At 39.8% G+C, this 18711-nt stretch overlaps 1 pseudogene across 1 annotated transcript in view; it reads right to left on the bottom strand.

The window, feature by feature from the left end:
- HYDIN2 (HYDIN axonemal central pair apparatus protein 2 (pseudogene)) overlaps nt 1-18711 on the bottom strand; it is a 335703-nt pseudogene that overhangs the window by 219092 nt on the left and 97900 nt on the right. Inside the window, exon 15 of the transcript NR_103556.2 lies at nt 7772-7871. The product of NR_103556.2 is annotated as an HYDIN axonemal central pair apparatus protein 2 (pseudogene) (transcript). The remainder of the gene's footprint in view (nt 1-7771; nt 7872-18711) is intronic.

Below are 18711 nucleotides of genomic sequence, written 5' to 3'. Positions count from 1 at the left end.
ATGAAGCTGGAGGCCATCATCCCTAGCAAACTAATGCAGAAACAGAAAAACAAAATACTGCATATTCTCACTTATAAGTGGGAGCTAAATGATGAGAACACACGGACACAAAGAGGGGAACAACAGACACTGAGGCCTAGTGGAGGGTGGAGGGTGAGAGGAGGAAGAGGATCAGGAAAAATAACTATTGGGTACTAGGCTTAGAACCTGTGTGACAAAAATCTGTACAACAAAAACAAAACTGCACACGTACCCCTGAACCTAAAAGTTAATTTTTTGTTTAAATCATAAGCAAAAGAACAAAAACAAAAAACAACCACAAAAAAAGCAAGGATATGATGGTCATCAAGAACAGAATGGTGGTGATTTCAGGGGAGGCTGCAGTGAGAGGAGTATGATTGGGAAGGAACACACTGAGGCTTCTAGGGGCTGAAAATATTCTATTATTGATCTTGGTGGCAATAACATCGTGCTTGCCTTATAATTATTTGTTATAATGTACCGGCATGTGTATAAGTTTCCAATTGTTGCTACAAGAAACTGTCACAAACTTAGTGGCTTACTGCACAAATGTATTATCTGAAAGTTCTGGACGTCAAAAGTCCAAAGTGATCTGATCGCTGTATATTATGCATATTGAAACATCACTATGTACCCCATGAATATGTATGGTTATTATTTGTCAATTAAAAAAAATTTTTTAAGATGAAAATACACAACTAGAAACAAAGTCCAACATGGGTCTCACTGGGCTAAAATCAACATATTCCCAGGGCTGCATTCCTTCCTGGAGACCCTGGGGTAGGGGGAATTCATTTTCTTGCATTTTCCAGTTTCTGGAGGCTCCCTGAATTCCTTACCTTGTCCATCTTTACTGCCTGGGAATGACTGGTTGAGACTTTCTCATATCACAGACCTCTGACACTGAGACCAATCCTTCTGCCTACTTCTTGGGCATTTATGGACCCTTGTGATTATACTGAGCCACCAACATGATGCAGGATAGTCTCCCTATCTTAAAGTCAGCTCATTAGTAACTTTAATTCCATCTGCTGCCTTGATTCGTCTTTGCCATTTAATGTAACATGTCCCCAGATTCTGGGGGTCAGGACCTGGACATCTTTGGGAGGCCACTTCTGTGCTTACCACTAAATGTATTATGTAATTTCTGAATCTGCATTCTATTCAATAATGACACAAGGTTAAAAATTAAATTGCAGTATGTAAATGCAAAGGGTTCCTATGCAATCATGAAAAGAATGACATCTTTTATTTAGTATTGTATATAATCCCTGGGAAATATTTTAAAAGCAATGTTAAAACCATTATGTAAAGTATACTGTCGTTTACGCAAAACGACATGAGGAGGAAAGAATTATTTATATGTATTTGCTTCTACATGCCACGTGTATCTTAAAGCAAAGGAAAACAAAACAAAACAAGGGAAGGAGATTTTTTATCTGTCTAACAAGTATTTCTTAGTGACCTAAGACCAAGAGGTTTTACCAACTCATTGAAGATAATAGTAAGGAATCATCAGCAGCTCTTGAAAAGACACAGAGAATTGCACAGAATTTACAGGGAAGATAATATGGAATTACTATGTAAGCAAAGCTCTTCCCTGGCAAGCATATCTTTTAATAATCCACTAACAAAATAAAGAAGAATGTCATGCAGATGGAAAATTATACTATTCGGCTTACCCAGGATGTGAATTCTGTGGGAGAATTCAGAATTACAAACAAAACAATAGGGAAATCTCACTTGTTGTGTAATGGTTGGGAACCTCCTGGAGAGTAGCCAACCCCTTGGAATAAGGCCAAGCACAATGTCCACAGGGAGTTGCAGATGGGAGGGAGGTCCCACCACCTGTGGCACAGGGGCCACTGGAGCATTTCCAGCCCATGTCTGACACTGCTGTGCTAACATTTCCTCTAGACCTATTAGGTTGTCCATTGTAGGTGATGCTCGTCTGCAGGATGGAGACAGACCTATGTCAATCCAAAAACTCCTAGTCCATTCTGCATTCATTCTGGGGACGTCTGGAGAATTCTGCATTCACATGCAAGGGAGAGGTCAAATCAAAACAGGATTCACTTAGTCATTTTTTTCCAGTTATTTGCTTATTCATTTAATCAACATTTATTGAGTAGCTTTATTTTCTTGGTGCTAGCAGCATAAGATGTACAGGATGAGTCCTGTATGTATGTGTGGATATATATATATTATATTATATATAATTATGATATACATAATATATAATAGATATAATATATATAATAAATAAATATAATAAATATATATAAATTTATATCTAAATAAAAGTTATATATTTATAGATTTTTATATATATTTATATATAAATAAAATAAAATACATATAATATATTTTATATATATATTTATATATAATATATTTATATATAATTATAAATATATAAATAATATAATATATAAATATATATAAACATATATAAATATATATATTATATATATATTTCATATATATATAATATATATATTTCATATATATATTATATATATATTTCATATATATATAATATATATATTTCATATATATATATCAATATATCAATTTCCAAAACAGGCAAAACTATACTATTTTGCTTAGGGATGAATATGTAGGTGGCAAAATTATACATGAAAGCAAGGAAACAACTATCATAAAAGTCAAGGTGATGGTTTTATCGAGGAAAGGTGAGGGAAACTTCATTGGGAGAAGACACACACCTGGGGGAGGTGCAGGGTAGCACAGGCTTGGGTCAGGGAGCCCATACTTCTGCACATTCCTAGACTGCCTGAGCCTCTTTTACACAGAAAAAAGTGACTGCATAGATATGGACCGAAAACAGCACGGTGTGGCAGAATAGGGGAATTGCTGCACTTGAAGGATGCAAATGATGTGCATTCTTGCTGACAGTGCACTCTTATACTCTCCCCCCAGGTTTAAAACAAACACAGCAGCCATACTTTCCTGGGAAACCTAGATATAAAACAGCAGAGGTAAGCAGCACTAGCTACCATCAACGTGAAAGCCATTTTCTCATTCTTACATACGAATGAATGACCATGGACCAGAAGGCATTGGAAGGAACCCCATGAATGCATGAAAGACAAACAGCTGAACATTATGGGCAATTCAGAGAACATAAGATTTATTTTTTAAGAAACGAAAGTTCAAATGATTATCCCCAGATCAATGAGAAGAAGTTGCATCCATAAACAAACACTTAGTTATGAAACAGGAATAGAGGACAAAAGAGGTCTTGAAAATTAAAAATATTATTGCAGAAATGAAAGATCGCTAGGAAGTATTCAGAAAAAAACTGAGCTGAGTCTCTTGCAAAGCAATTGGCAAATGCTAAAGTTCAGTGCTTCACCTTGACCACAAAGAAGAAAACTTTCCAAGTTTTTGAGAAACACCTGCTTGTACCTCTGCAAGAAAGTTCCAAAATGGAAGATGCCCGGAAACCACTGTGGCAAAATGCTTTCTTGAACCTGTTCAAGACAGGCAAGGAAAGTCTCAACTGCAAAGGGAAACAATTTGAGTCAGAGTAACTTGGGTTTGTTGTTGTTATCTGTATAAAAGGGAAAATTGCCATTTGAATAACTGAATAGCAGTAATGTACCAAGCGGACTATTTAAGTTCAGGGCGGTGGCTCTGCACATCAGGAATGATGCCACAGGTGCTGGCCACAGGTCTGCTGGTGGCTGCGGAGAGCTACAGCTATGCAGCACACTCCTGCCATCTTTCCTGATTCATGAACATCAGTATTTCTCTAGGCATAGACTTGAATTAAATTTAGTGTCATTTCTTAGTAGTGTTTGATGATTAAAATCTTGTTCTTTGACAACAAATGATCAATCTTCCAGGTCTAACATTGGATTCACAGGTTTTCCAGACAAATAAAATGAAAAAAAATGGAGGAAAGAATATCAAAGACACAATAAAATTTCTTAGAGCTGAAGTGATGTGAGTCATCAGATTCAAATGGCCCACAGAAGGCTGAGGAGGATGAATAAGAAAAACCCACTCCTGGACATGACTTCATCACATTTCAGACCCCAAATATGAAAAGAAGGCCCCCAAAACATCCAGAGAAAAAGAAGAGGCTGCCTATAAAGGAATGGACATTAGATGACCTCAGGCTTTGGAATTTTTTACAATCAAGTAGTCACAAAGTCTCCAGTGTTCTGAGGAGAAATGATTTTGAACCTGGGATCCTATAGTCAGCTAAACTGCCAAGTGAGTATGAAGGCAAAATAAGGTATTTTCGGGCATTCAAGGATCAAAGTTTCCACTTCCATATATTTACATACACACATTATATACATCATTTCTAAGGAAGTTACTTGAGCAGACTGAGAATGAAAAGGTGTGACTGAACATAGAAATATTTTTTAAAATTCCTGGATAACAACTGTTCATTCAGGAGGTGACTGATCTGAATTAAAATAAGAAGCTGATAGGCTCTGATCAGTATCTTCAAAGAGAAAAAGAGAATGAATTATAAAATTAGATAGGAGTGAAGAAATAAGGAATTAGAAACCACAGGGGGGAAATCAAAAGCTGTACAAAAGAGTCAGTTAAGAAGTAAACTAAAAGGAGGCATAGTTGTGAGTAACTGATAAATTGGTAAAGAAAGAATATACTTGATATGGACCTTAGGGACATTCTTTGAGTGACTAGGAACCAGAGCACTGAACAAACAGGATAAAATGTAATCCCAGAACCTATTTGGCTCTGCAGTGTATAATATTTATGTAAGAAGAAGACTTAACAGTGGTTATCAATAATGATTATGTAAAAATGGAATAGCTCACAGAGGTTAGAGGGAGAAGGCTAGTGGACTAGCCGGGGATAACCTAGTTATAGGCACCAAAATCCTTACACATCAAGAGATAATGTAAAGTTGATGGAACAAAAAATACAGGCTTAAGTGTATTATTTAAGGCTATAAATAAACCTCATAAGATAAAATAAAACAATTGGGTTGTCAGGGGCTGAGGTTGGGGGACAGGATTGTCTGCAAAGAAGCATAGGGAACTTTATGGGGTGATCTCAGATACACATTTCCACATCTTGATTTTGGTGGTTATATGACTATTTAGGTTTGTCAAAATTCACAGAACCATGCTCCAAACAATGATGAATTTCACTGCATGTAAATCCTAACTCAGTAAACTTAGGAAGGGGAAAAACCTAGGAACCGAAAAGTGAACTAAACCCTCATCTTTCATACTGGGGCGTCAAAAGAAAATGTACGAAGTTAATAAATCCACCAAAAGCAACATAAGCATAGAGCTGGCAAGGGAAACCACCATCACAAGAAACAGCCAAAAGAAGTTTTTGGAAGTAGCAGTGGTGACACAGACTAACATTTAGCTTCATAATTTTACTATCTACATGTTTTACTTATTTATTGGCATTGGCATTTAAACACAATTCTGAAACATTTTTAAAATGCAGAAAGGTTTCCAGAGTAGTACAAGAACTTCTATTAAATATCTATCCCATGCCCAATAATGTCCTTTATAGCAAAGGGCCCAATCCAGGATCACATTTTGCACTCAATTACCATGTCTCTCTAGTCTCCTTCAACCTGGAACAGTTCTTCGGGATTTCTTGACTTTCATGATCTTGATTTTTTTTTTTTTTTTTTTTTTTTGAGACAGGGTCTCACTCTGTCACCCAGGCTGGTGTCCCGTGGTGCAATCACAGCTCACTACAGCCTCAAACTTCTGGGCTTAAGTGATCCTCCCACTTTGGCCTACTGAGTAGCTAGGACTACAGGCATGTGCCACCACACTTGATTAAGTTTTAATTTTTTGTAGAGATGGGGTCTCACTATGTTTCCCAGGACCATATTGAATTCCTGGACTCAAGAAATCCTCTCACGTCAGCCTCCCAAATTGCTGGGATTATAGCCGGAAGTCACCGTGCCCGGCCGTCATGACCTTGATATTTTTAAAGATTACAGGCTGGTCATTTTATTTTGTTCTTCAATTTGGGATTGCCTGATGTTTCCTCCTGATTAGATCCAATTTAGGTATCTTGGCCCTGATATCATAGAAGGGATGCTGTGTTCTCACTGCATCCTGGCATGTGATCTGAGAGGTTGATTTGCTGTATTATTACTGGGATAAACCAAGATAGCATCTCCCAGGCTTCTTCACTGCAAAGTTAGTTTTCTCCCCTTCATAAAAAGTATTTTGAGGAAAGATGTTTTCAGACTATTCCATGCCCTACTTTCACCCATTTTCTTAAGATCCACTGACGCTTTTACCTGAATTGGTTATTGCAATGATGATTGCCAAGTAGTACATTAAATGGATTCACAGATTCCTATTTATTCAATGGATTATAATAATCTATTAGTATCATTATTTTGATTCTTGACTCATTCCAAATGTGGTCAGTGGGAGTTTCTTTGCTGTCTTCTGTGTCATTTCGACATGTGCCTATCATTCTTTGAGCATTTCCTTACCGTCTAGCAAAGGAGATAATCCAGGCTCATCTTATTCTTTCCCTACCTTGGTCCTGGAGTTAAGCAGTTCCTTTCACTAAAGAGTGGCATTTAGAAACCAAGCTTTGGGTGATCGGTGTGCTCACTGCTATAGAGTCTCAAAGCTTCCAGGACTTCTCAATGGACCTAGCTAGGAAATACACACATGCATGTACACATGCATATACACACATTTACATGTATATTTATTTTTATATCTATCTATACATGTCAGTGTGAACTCAACAACTCTGAGTTCACATTGACAACTCTAATTCCATTCCAATTTCAAAGGGTTTGGCTTCACCCTATTTTCCATGTTTGTATCTCCTTCCTCCAAGAGTGAGAAATACTGGTTCCCATCATCCTCAATGTATTTACTTTTCTGCTTAATTCCCTGTATGTATCAAATCTCCTGATGTCATCATCAGGTTGCCATCCCACCTGTGCACCCTCCTGGTTGCTCTGGCCTCTGCCAGGCTGCCTTCCCATCCCACTTGGAATTATTTTGGTAAAACTTAAAAAGAAAAAAATTAGTAACCAAATACTATAAAAGGAACAAAAAAGGAGATTGTGGGAATTGGTCATAAGCAATATTTTTACTGCTCTAAGAGCCATGGTCCCTGATATGGTTAGGTTTTGTGTCCCCACTCAAATCTCATCTTGAATTATAATTCCCATAATTCCCACGTGTCAAGGGAAAGACTATGTGGAGGTAACTGAATCATGGGGGCAGTTTCCCCCTTGTTGTTTTTGTGATAGTGAGTGAGTTCTCACGAGATCCGATGGTTTTATAAGGGGCTCTTTCCTCCTTTACTCGGCACTTCTCCCTCCTGCTGCCTTGTGAAGAAGGTGCCTTGCTTCCTCTTTGCCTTTCACCATGATTGTAAGTTTCCTGAGGTCTCCCCAGTCGTGCTGATCTGTGAGTCAACTAAACCTCTTTCCTTTATCAATTACCCAATCTCGGGTAGTTATTATTAGCAGTATGAAAATGGACTAATACAGTTTCCATTTCCTCCACATGCCACCACAATTGTAAAGCACTTTAAAGTTTGATCTGTTATAGGAAGAAGTGAGAGGGGCATAGCTTGGCTCCATAATTCCCCTAATCAATATAATCAATATCATGTACCGCCCATGGCATGATCCCACATGCACATGTGCACACACACACACACTCAGACACCACACTTCATGCTCTGGGTGCCTGGTAACCTGAGTTTACCACTTGGAGGAGGTCACTACCTAAAATGTCGCAGTAAATGGTCTGTTGATAGAGCTTGGCTTCTAGTGGGTTAAAGTACACGGTGATTTCAGCTGATGAGTTGGGCCAGACATCACCTTCCTGAAAAACATGAAAGAATCATTAAAAAACAATATGACAAAAGAAAGACACTGCTTGTAAGTGTTATTACATTAAAACTCCAAGAAATTTTTTTTTCATAAAATTGTATATGTTTAAGGTATACAACATGTTTTGATATATATTTGTATAGTGAAATGATTACTGCAGTCAAGGAAATCAACACATCTATCTCCTCACATAGTTAACTTGTGTGTGCGTGGTGAGAGCACCTGGTCTGTCTACTCTCTTAGCAAGTACCCAACATATCATACATTATTATTAACTATAGTCACCATGCACTACATTAGGTCTCCAGAACTTATAACTACAAGTTTGTACCCTTTGACCAACATCTCCCCATTTCCGCCCCCAACCCCACCCTCTGATGCCTGGTAACCACCAATCTCTTACCAAACTGTTTCTATGAGTTAGACCTTTTTTTTTTTTTTTTTTTTTTTTAAGATTTCACACACATATAAGTGAGATCATGTGGTATTTGTCTTTCTGTGTCTGGCTTATTTCACTTAGCACAATGTCTCCAGATTCATTCATGTTGTCACAAGTGGCAGGAACTCTTTCTTAGTAAGAGTGAATAATATTCCATTGTATGTACACACTTCTTTTTTCATTCTTCTGTCGCTGGACACTTCAGTTGCTTCCACAGCTTGGCCATTGTGAATAATGCTGCAATGAACATGGGGGTGCAGAGCTCTCTTCGAGATCCTGATTTCATTTCCTTTGGGGATATACCCAGATGAGGGATTGTGGGATCACATGACAGTTCTATTTATGATTTTTTGAGGAATCTCTATACTGTTTTCCATAATGTCCGTACCAATCTACAGTCCCACCAACAGTGTACAAGGGTTCAATTCCAGGAAACTTAAAGAGAACATTTTTCTAATAAGTACAAGAAAGCATTCTTTCACCAGCAGATAGTAAATGTATACTTCTTGATAACTTATGAGGTGGTACAAGTTGGAAACAAACTTCAAAGATAACTTCAGTGAATTTATGAACATATAATGAGTTACTAAAGGAAACTAGGGTGTATAAGACATTTTAAAATGAAATGTATATTCAGTGGCTATTCACTGTTTGCCCAATGTGTTCCCAGTACTGGGGCTTCAGAGAAGCAGAAAGGTGTGGGCTGTGACTGCAGGGAACTCATACCTTAGTGGGATGATAAACATGTATACAAACATTTAACAGTATATGAGGTAAGTGCTGTGTCTATAAAAATACAGCCCAGAGGGGTCACAGAGGAAGAAGTACTTGACTTCCTTGCTGGAGGCACCACGTTTTTAACTTTTGAGGTGACAGCATAAGGAAACACTCTTACTCTACAAAAACATAGCAATGGCCCAAGGTAGAACAATAGCTTGGTCAAACCCTGCTTCTACTCCAGTGTGGCATTTCTCCCTTTAATTGGAACTACCAAAAAGTCATAATCAGGAAACCAAGTTTTAAAATGGTAATGCAAAATGCAATGTATCAGAATCTCCTTGTTAGGTATACTTTGATTAGTATTTTTAACTATGTAATCTGCGGCCTCTTCATTAGCTTCTCAAGGCTGTAAAAAGAGATGCTGATAGCACTTGCCTCAAAGGGGTTCCTAAGGTCTGACAAAGTCATGCAGGTCAAACACTTTGCCCCATGCTCAGTCAGAACTCAGTAAATAACTGACTACCATGATCGATGTTATTTTTGTGCTACTTAGAAGGACTAAGATGAAAGTATTGAAAAGGGGAAAAGATGTGTGTGTGTTTTGTATGATTTTTGTAAATAGGGCCAAGTGAGCATAAACGATCAACACATCCAGAAATCTATAAACAGTCCCGCCAGCTAAATAGAAAACTAAGGAAAGACAACTTGATAAATAATTAGGCTCCAGCTCCAGACAGTCCCTGGTGCATTCTCTATTTGCAGTCTGGCTAGAAAGAACATACTTCTGGAATAAAGAATGTCAAAAAGAACAAAATGGTTTAAAAATGCAGATATCAAACAAGAGGGAGAAAATAAAAATCTAGAGCCAATTTGGGTTTATTAATTAACACAATCAGTCTTATCAGTATACTTTGCAGGCAGTGTCTTTCCTAACTTCAGAATGAAGGAGGCACAAGGGCTTAAGGGGGAGCAGAGAGGGCTGTAAATATTATGCAGGTATGATACCTCGGGCCATTGCTCTGTTTTTGTAGAGTAAGAGTGTTTCCTTATGCTGTCACCTCAAAAGTTAGAAACGTGGTGCCTCCACCAAGGAAGTCAAGTACTTCTTCCTCTGTGACCCCTCTGGGCTGTATTTATATAGACACAGCACTTACTGTAAAATGTTTGTATATATGTTTATCATCCCACTAAGGTATGAGTTCTCTGCAGTCACGGCCCACACCTTTCTGCTTCTCTGAAGCCCTGGTACTGGGAATGCATTGGGCAGACAGTGAATAGTCACTCAATGTACATTTTAAAATGTCGTATACATCCTAGTTTCCTTTAGATCTCACATCCCCAGATCAGCCTGTGAGAATGAAGGCTCCATAAGGGTAGCTGCCGTTCTACCCCCACCCAAACCAGAGTAAGCCATCCCTGGTTTGGGTAGGGGCAGAACAGCAACTACCCTCAGGGAAGCTTCAATCTTCATGGCTCTTAGTAGGTGCTCAATAAATATTTGTTGAATCTGCAATATCTACTCAGTTTGCACACTGTGTAGTCAGTAGCAGACACCTATTCATCTCTGCAACCTACTTCTACTATTTTCTCTTCATCCAGAACCTCAAAAGTCACACAACTGTAGAGCCAAAAGAGACCTATGAGAGCATATGAGGAACAGAGAAGTCCTAAGCACTTTGATGTATTTAGGCATTTCACTGTGGCACCTTTCCAATCTTGAAATAAGTATCTGTTTTCTTCTGATAAATGATAAATATCTGGCCCCTTTTGATTGGTGGGGGTTTTAGTGATATGCAGTGTTAGAAACACTCATGGCTAGACTCAACTGGCAAGGCCAGGCAGATGAGGCAGCTCAGCCAATCAGTGGTGTATCAGTAGTTATCTCATCTCAGGACTACTGAAATCCTGGGCTTCTTACTCACCCATGACACAAACATATTCCTTTGGTGGGTTAATACTCTGCTGTGTTTGGGTAAACAGAATGGACACCGCTAACCTGCTCCTACACAAATGGAATGACCAAAGGGCCAGGGGCTATCTTAGATCCTGAGAGAACCCAGGCTAGAGAAGTCTCACCAGAACTGTAGGAAGTGGCCCCCACTGGAAATCACATAAACTCAGTGCATGTGGGCAAGTCAGGGTCTTATGGTTTGAAGTGGACCAGGAATGCTTTCAAAAGTATGATCCCAGCAATCCAGGGTCCATGTGCAGAAGAGGGTAACACACTTCAGTTTCTCTTAGAACACTCTTGGACTGCCATCATCAAAGAGGTCTGATTAGCACAACTGGAGGGATGGGAGTGAGTGGTGGTAGACACACTCCAGAGAGGTGACTGGAATCTCTCCAGAGGAGGAAGCGTTGACATTCGGAAGCCATCAGTGAGAGATCATCTGATGTGGAGGCTCCTGGGAGATGGAGAAGCCTTTCTGCTTGGTGAGAAGACCAGCACAAAGAAATCCGAATCGACAGGGTTCAGACTGAGCAAATGGAGCTGTGGGCTCAGTGCTTACTTATTGTGGGCTGCAGCTGTCTTACTCTGCCTGTGACATCCACTTGTAACTTGCAGCCTTCACTGAGCCCGAGAGATAAAGGAAGGACAAACCCTATTTATTCTAAACTCCTCTCCTGGGCTTGGAGCAGGTACCGTGTATTAAGACGGTTGTGTGTACCTGAAAACAGCGTGCTCATTCAGTTTCCTCTCACAGAAGGATGCTTTCAATGTGATTTCATTTGAAGGAGTTAGGAACATGCAGGATATTTCTACTTTTCAGTTGGGATTTAAGTAAAAGAGAAAGAACTTCTATTTCCTTATAGCAAAAACTCAATATAGCATTTTCTATCAAATGGGAGAGCAAACCTCAGAAATAGGTAACAAGCCTCAACTTTAGACCCCACTTCCAGTTTCACGTCTTTGAAAGATTTCATATGACTTCTTTAACACTTCTGAAATTAAATTCCATGTCATTTATGTCTCTGCAAAAAAAACTTTCTTTCTTTATTACTCAGTTCTAACATTTCTGAAAATCAAAACATCCAGAAATTTCCTTCCTGGCTCTGACATCAATATCCCTTCTTCCCAGTTCTACAAAACCTGCCTCATCACACGGATCCGCGTCCCCCATTCTGCGAGCCTTCTACATGTGACCCCCCTCCCATGACTGCCCATTTTCCTGCTCCAAATGAGAGGTTGAGTACATAGGATTGAATCTGTAAGTGACTATGACCTTCTTTGTTGAAAAGAATTGTCAAAATGGCCTTCAGTTATACTGTAATTATCTTCCTTCTTGGTCTTAATGTTTTCTTTCAGATTCGCAATGAGTAAAGTAATTGCATTTTACTTATTAATAAAGTGACCTACTAGAAAAAAATCAACTTTAAATTTTCAAGCCTAAAGCTAATTCCCATATTGCGATTTTTGCCCAAATTATTAAATATCTCTGGACACGGAGTTTCATGCTTCCTTCTGGAACAAGAATAAACAACCAAGTGACTCGATGGCCACAGTTCTGAGACTTTCTGAAAGCTGTCTATGAACAAACAGCCACTGGTTTGTGATAGATGATAAATATGATCATGAGAAAGGTGTCATTTAAAAGTGTTCACCTTTTAAAAATTATATCAGCAATACTTACAGGGGATCTTTAAAAAAAACTCCCTTGAAAATCCTTAAACATCTTTTTAAAAAATTGTCTTCCTTCCCCTCTATTACCCCTCTACCTCCTTTCCTTCGTTTCTCCCTTCCTTCCTTCCTTGAAAGATTATTTCTTACAAATCTTGCCCCCCTCCCAAAAAAAAAACCAAAGTGCAAGAACAGAGATTTATATACATATGTAATTTTCCTGGTTTATCTAAAAAGTAGTTTACGACTCAACTTTTACATTTATCAAATAAAATGGTTATGTTCTAGTTCCCAACTTACATTTAGAAGAATGATCCACGTTTGCCCACTCAAATGCTATGCTTTCCAATCATACTCTCTAATCTGACAAGACAAATGTATTTAACTACAAATCATAATATACGTAACCACCCACTGAGAGCTCATGTTCCACACTGTGTAAAGTGCTTATACACATTAACTAGTTCAATCACTACCACCTTGTGAAGTAGTATTATTACTTTAAAGATGAGAAAATCAAGGCAAAAAGAAGTATCTTACCCAAAGCCAGACCAATAGTTTAAGTAGCAGAGCTAAGATTCTGTAATAATTTTTTCCCTGACTTCTCTAAACCCACTGCAATTATAAAAAGAGTCAGGCCTCAACTTCTTCACAATATCATAAAAAAGGCCAGAAGAAGTTGAAAAATACTACAACTCAAGCAGGCTTCGTGAGACCTGGTGTTCCTGTCTGGAAAACATAGCACGGCCCCCTGCATGCTTGTATCCTTCCAGTTACTTCTGGAAGGTGACTCATGGGAGGTTCCTTTGGATGACAAAGTCAACATTAGTACATTGCAGCTCTTGAGAAATGCATGGTGGATCTGTATCAAGCTATCCTGGTGTGGTGAAGGTCAGGGTCCAGTCAGCTCACAGCAGCGGGGGTGAATAATGATGTCAAGAGTAACTATAATAGGTGATGAATTCTACCATGTTTCACCCAAATGGAAATGCTCTTCACCACATAAACAAATATTTTCAGCTATCTTATAGTTTTCCTTAAAATATTAGAAAAATATCAACATAAAGAATTTCTCTTGGGAAATGAAAACATGCTCTAAAAGCCACATTTCTATCAAAGAATAAGCAAAAAAACCCATAGATTATAGAAGCTATAATCCGTTTCATTACCCACAACTGCTCGTCTAGATCCTTCCAGATCAATAAGAGAAATCATGGCTCTCTATAACGTCACCCAGGGCAAACAGCAGTTGTCTCAAAGAGGAACAGAAAAATAGAAGCTAAAAAACTGAAGCCAAACCATCTTAGTTATCACTGACAGAAAAGTTCAAATTGACACATGACATGCAAAGAGATTTTTCTGCTTCATTATTTTCCTGGGACAAGAAACTATGAATCAAGTTAAGTTATGATTCTCAAAATAATGACCATAAAAGTTTCTAAGAGAGGGCTCTAAGATTTCACCTTCTGTCAGAGGAAGCTTCACAAAAGGAGTATTCTATCTTGATCTCACCTCCAACCCAAATACAGTGAAAAGTGCACAGAGGTTCTATAGGGCGGAGGTAGTTGTGTGTGATGTTCATGCCTTTCTCTGGAGAGAACAGAACTGTGTCTTGTCTAGCAGGGAAGGTTGTTAAGTTATTTAATGAGCCCCGAGGAACCATGCTGTTTCTAAGGCTTCCCCAGGCCTCCTGCCACCTATACTGGTTCTCCAATACAACAGCGAATGTACCAAACAATTGGAAAAAGTGTCGCTGAGCACAAGGATCCGAAAGGATGATCCTGATAAACAAAGGCTGAGGAGTGGGAAAACCACACTGATGGAGAAGCTGTGACTTGTCAAGGCCAGTTTGCTCTCAGCAGATTCCTGTCCTTCTTTCTCCTTTCTGGCTTCCATTTCCAAAGAGTCAGCTTCCACATGTTTGCAATGTGACTCAAGGCTATAATGGTAGGAGAAGTGGAAGGAGTGTGTAGTGAAAAGCTGGGTCTTTCTTCTCTGCTAGCCATCTGGACTTCCACCCAACCTGGTTCTGCTGAGCTCACATGCTATGCCCGCTTGGGAAAAATAAAGTAAACTAAATTTGAGCTGTGCTCTCAAAGTCTGAATTGCTGGAACAGCACGTTTTCTGCAGGCTTAGATGACGACAAAGCATGGTTTACTATTACTTATATGGTAATAAAGAAATTAGCAGGTTTCTCTCTCTTTTTAAGGCTTAGTTAAATTAAGCTTAAGCTTCCCTAGGGATACCAAATGAAGTTTTCTTTGATCGAGGAGACACTTGCTAATAGAAGCAGAAATGTTCCCCTGCTCGCTGATGTCCGTCAATCAGCTAGGAGCAGTTTAGGTAAATACCTTTAAATTCTCAGACCTTTCTTTTTGGGAAAATATCAAGGGTTCAGTATTCAGAAAATTGCTGCATCTTCAAAGCGTGACCTCAGCCAGCAGCATCAGGGTTCAGATACAAGGCCAGCACATTTGTGCTGCCATTCCTCAAATGACTCCTCGATGCCCATGGAAAGCAAAAGCTTGATTCTCTCTTTCTGCCCTATGATACTCTCGGCTTTTCAATTCTCAGGACTGTTTTTTATCTTTGAATCTCTCCCTCTCAGGGTACCCAAGAGACCCAAGCAGAGAAAATAACAGAATGAGACTGTCAACATTCTGTAAAGCCAGAGTCCATCCAATACAAATAGGATATTATATTTCTGAAAGTAGCCAATTACACTTGATTTTCTGGAAGGCACAAAACATGCATAACAGAACTTCAACTTGGCAGTTCTTTTCCAAAGGGGAAAAAAACCCATATGGAAATAGGTGGCTTGAGAATTATCAGTATTCTACAGAACCCAGTACCTTCCCTAGGTAAGGAACAAATGGAAAAATTTAGGCTAATGAAAAACTTGACAGAAACAATGATAACACATCCCATGCTTTAATGACTAGAAAAACAATTCTTCGGATGCTTCAACAATATAAATAAACTATCAAGTAAAGATTTTTAAAAATTCCTCCCAGCCCTCTGTACTGGACTGTCTTCTGCCTGTGGTCACTCTGTGATATGGTTTGGCTGTGTCCCCACCCAAATCTCAACTTGAATTGTGCTCCCATAATTACCACATGTTGTGGGAGGGACCTGGTGGGAGATAATTGAATCACAGGGGTGGTTTCCCCCATACTGTTCTCATGGTAGTGAATAAGTCTCATGAGATCTGATGGTTTTATAATGGGAAACCCCTTTCACTTGGTTCTCATTCTTTCTTGTCTGCCACCATGTAAGAAATGCCTTTCACCTTCTGCCATGATTATGAGGCCTCCCCAGCCACATGGAACTGTGAGTCCATTCAACCTCTTTCCTTTCTAAATTACCCAGTCTCAGATGTGTCTTTATCACCAGCGTGAGAACAGATTAATATTCTCTGGGTCATTACTCCCTTTCTCCACCAATGAACACCTCTGGGGTCTCTCAAAAGACAAACTCCCACCTCTGAGCCCTGGAGCAGCTACCAGCCTCCGTCTGTTCGATCACAAGGAAGAGAGGGAACCAAGCAGCCCTGGTACTGTGCAGTGACATCAATGCCCAGGATGCCCAAGACTAACTCCTCAAGGCTTGAGCAATGGACCCTACAGCCTTGTTAAATGATGAGCATGATGAGAAGGTGACGGAAGGGACACAACCTGCAGCCACATGGTTGGCAGGTGGTAAGACAGAGGAAGGACTTGCAGTTCTAGAGTTTTGAGTCTGTCGTTCTTATAGTATTGAGTCAAACTGCTTTTCACATGATACTATTCACAAGATTTCATTTAAATTCAAACCAATCATCGCCTCTTGGCAACTTAGGGACAGGGTCTAATCTCTTGATCTTGAATCTCCTTGCTTTAAATTGAAAGAGCCTCTGAAACAGGAACAATGCTTCCATAAAATACTTGATATGCAGGGAACACAACCAGGACTAAACTAACCTTTTGTTTTCTCTGATGCATTTGAAGATGTGAGATAGATAGATATAGGTCTGAGAAAATAAGCCTGTTTCTTATTTCTTTCCAGACCTTGAGGTAATAGTTTTAGTTTTTCTTTTTAAGTTTAACTCATTTGAACACAATGTCTTTCCTCAGTGGTCAGGAGCTGAAGAGTCCATCAGAAAGCAAGGTGGTCTCTAAGCCTCTTCATCACCCTTTTCTTTTCTTTTTACTTTTTGAGCAGAGTATCAATTAGAGATTGATTATTAGATTAGCAGGAAACACTGCTTGGTTCCAATCTCCTCTGCTTCTACTGTGAACTCAACTCATATCAACAAGCTAATTAAAATGAATCACACCCTAAGAAATAACCAATCACCGATGCATAGGTCCACTCTCAGAAATTAAGTAGTAGCCACTTGGCACAACTGACCTGAGAGTGAGCAAGATTCAGAAGAGACCTTCAGAAGCAAATGGTGCTGAATGATGCATGGTAGGTGTAGACAAATGTGTAAGCCATGACAGGCTGTCAGCTGGCCAGCGCGCCTCCTGATGCCTTCTCTGTGAAGTCACAGCCTCTCCTCTCTCTGCAGAGCCTTTAAATGTGAGGGCCTGGAGGCCCTCTTCAGCCCTCTGCAATTTCCTGTTCGCTCTGCTCTTAAGAGTTTTCACCTGCTTTTCATGGCTTCAGTGAAGATCTCCACAGCACACTCACAAATCTTGCTTCCAGTCCTGAATCCCCTCCCACAAATTTTAGTCCTGCATTTGCCAAATTTTTTGGATATCTATAGTCATCTCAAATTCAACATGTTCAGAGCCAAACTCATCATCATTTATTGATTTAAATTTGTTCATTCATTCATTCGTTTATTAGCACTGGCCACAAATGAGGATAAGGACCTCCCTGACCTCAAGAAGCTCAGAGTCTGATCCTAAATTGGAGAGTCAGAATTTGTAGATCAAAAAGGATCAATGTGACTTAACTGCAATACCCTGTTTGTGTACAAGGCAACTGAAGCCAAGGAAGATCAAATGGCTTGTTTAAGCTTATATTGCTATTGGCAAAGCTAGCAGTTAAACTGAGGACTCCTGACTTGCTCCTTTCTATCAAAGACATCATAATTCTCCCAATATCTTCAGCACAGCTTTGGAGAAACACAAATGAAATTCCTCACAATGTCTCACCTCACCATCAACAGCCAGTTGATCAAAAAGCACTTTAGTGTCTTTCTTTTGAACATCTCGGATTTCTGCCATTTCCTTCCTTTCTGACCACCCCTGGGCTGTTCCAGGTCAGCAGCACCCTCATGCATCACCCAACCTTGCCTGCAGAGATGGTCAGTCTCTCTGACCCTTCCTGCACTGGGCATTTCCACTATCTGACCTGCACCACCCATCTCACCCTCTGTCTGTGTCCACGTTCCACAGAACATGGACCCCAGTGGATGCTCTGTGGAGGGGGAGTCTGTGGTCATAGGGAAATGCTGCTTGCACTCCATTGCTTGGAGAGTCACCTTCTCTTGAACCAGTATTTCTTAAGCTTATTTGACCACAGAACTCCCTCTTTGCAAGGAACGCACATGACCACCCCCTAGATCCAGTGTTTCTGCAAAAGCACGGTGGGAGATGGCAGCCTGCAGTCTAAAGCACAGTAGGTTGGTCAGGTAGCTCCTTCCCTAATGGTCTGTTTTTGTAATTTTCCCAATTGGAAACATTCTCCAACATTGCTTGAAGTCAAGTGTTCATGTAGGGAAAGGAGGTTGGAGATGCGTGTCGAGGCTGAAACTTCTGTCACGTCAGAGGACTATCCAGGGCTCAAGTGAGCAAAGGGATCTCCACATACAATGGGTTAGATCAAGATGAGGACCAAAAATGTAAATAGGTCAAGACCAGAGACATGGAAAGGTCAGGAAGGAATCATTGGTGCACGCAGCCAGGTGGCTGAGCTGGGCTGAGGCAGGGAAGAGCTGTCAGTCGTGGTAATCTTAGATGTACTGGTAAGGTCCACATGGTCCAAGTCTCTTCCCAGCTGCAGTGGAGATCGAGGCTGATGACTGCTCCTCCTGAGGATGGGTGGCCCTGGGACCACAACATGGC

This window comes from Homo sapiens, chromosome 1 (assembly GCF_000001405.40).
Source record: "Homo sapiens chromosome 1, GRCh38.p14 Primary Assembly".
Taxonomy (NCBI): Eukaryota; Metazoa; Chordata; class Mammalia; order Primates; family Hominidae; genus Homo; species Homo sapiens.
This window is presented reverse-complemented; position numbering and strand designations above follow the sequence as displayed.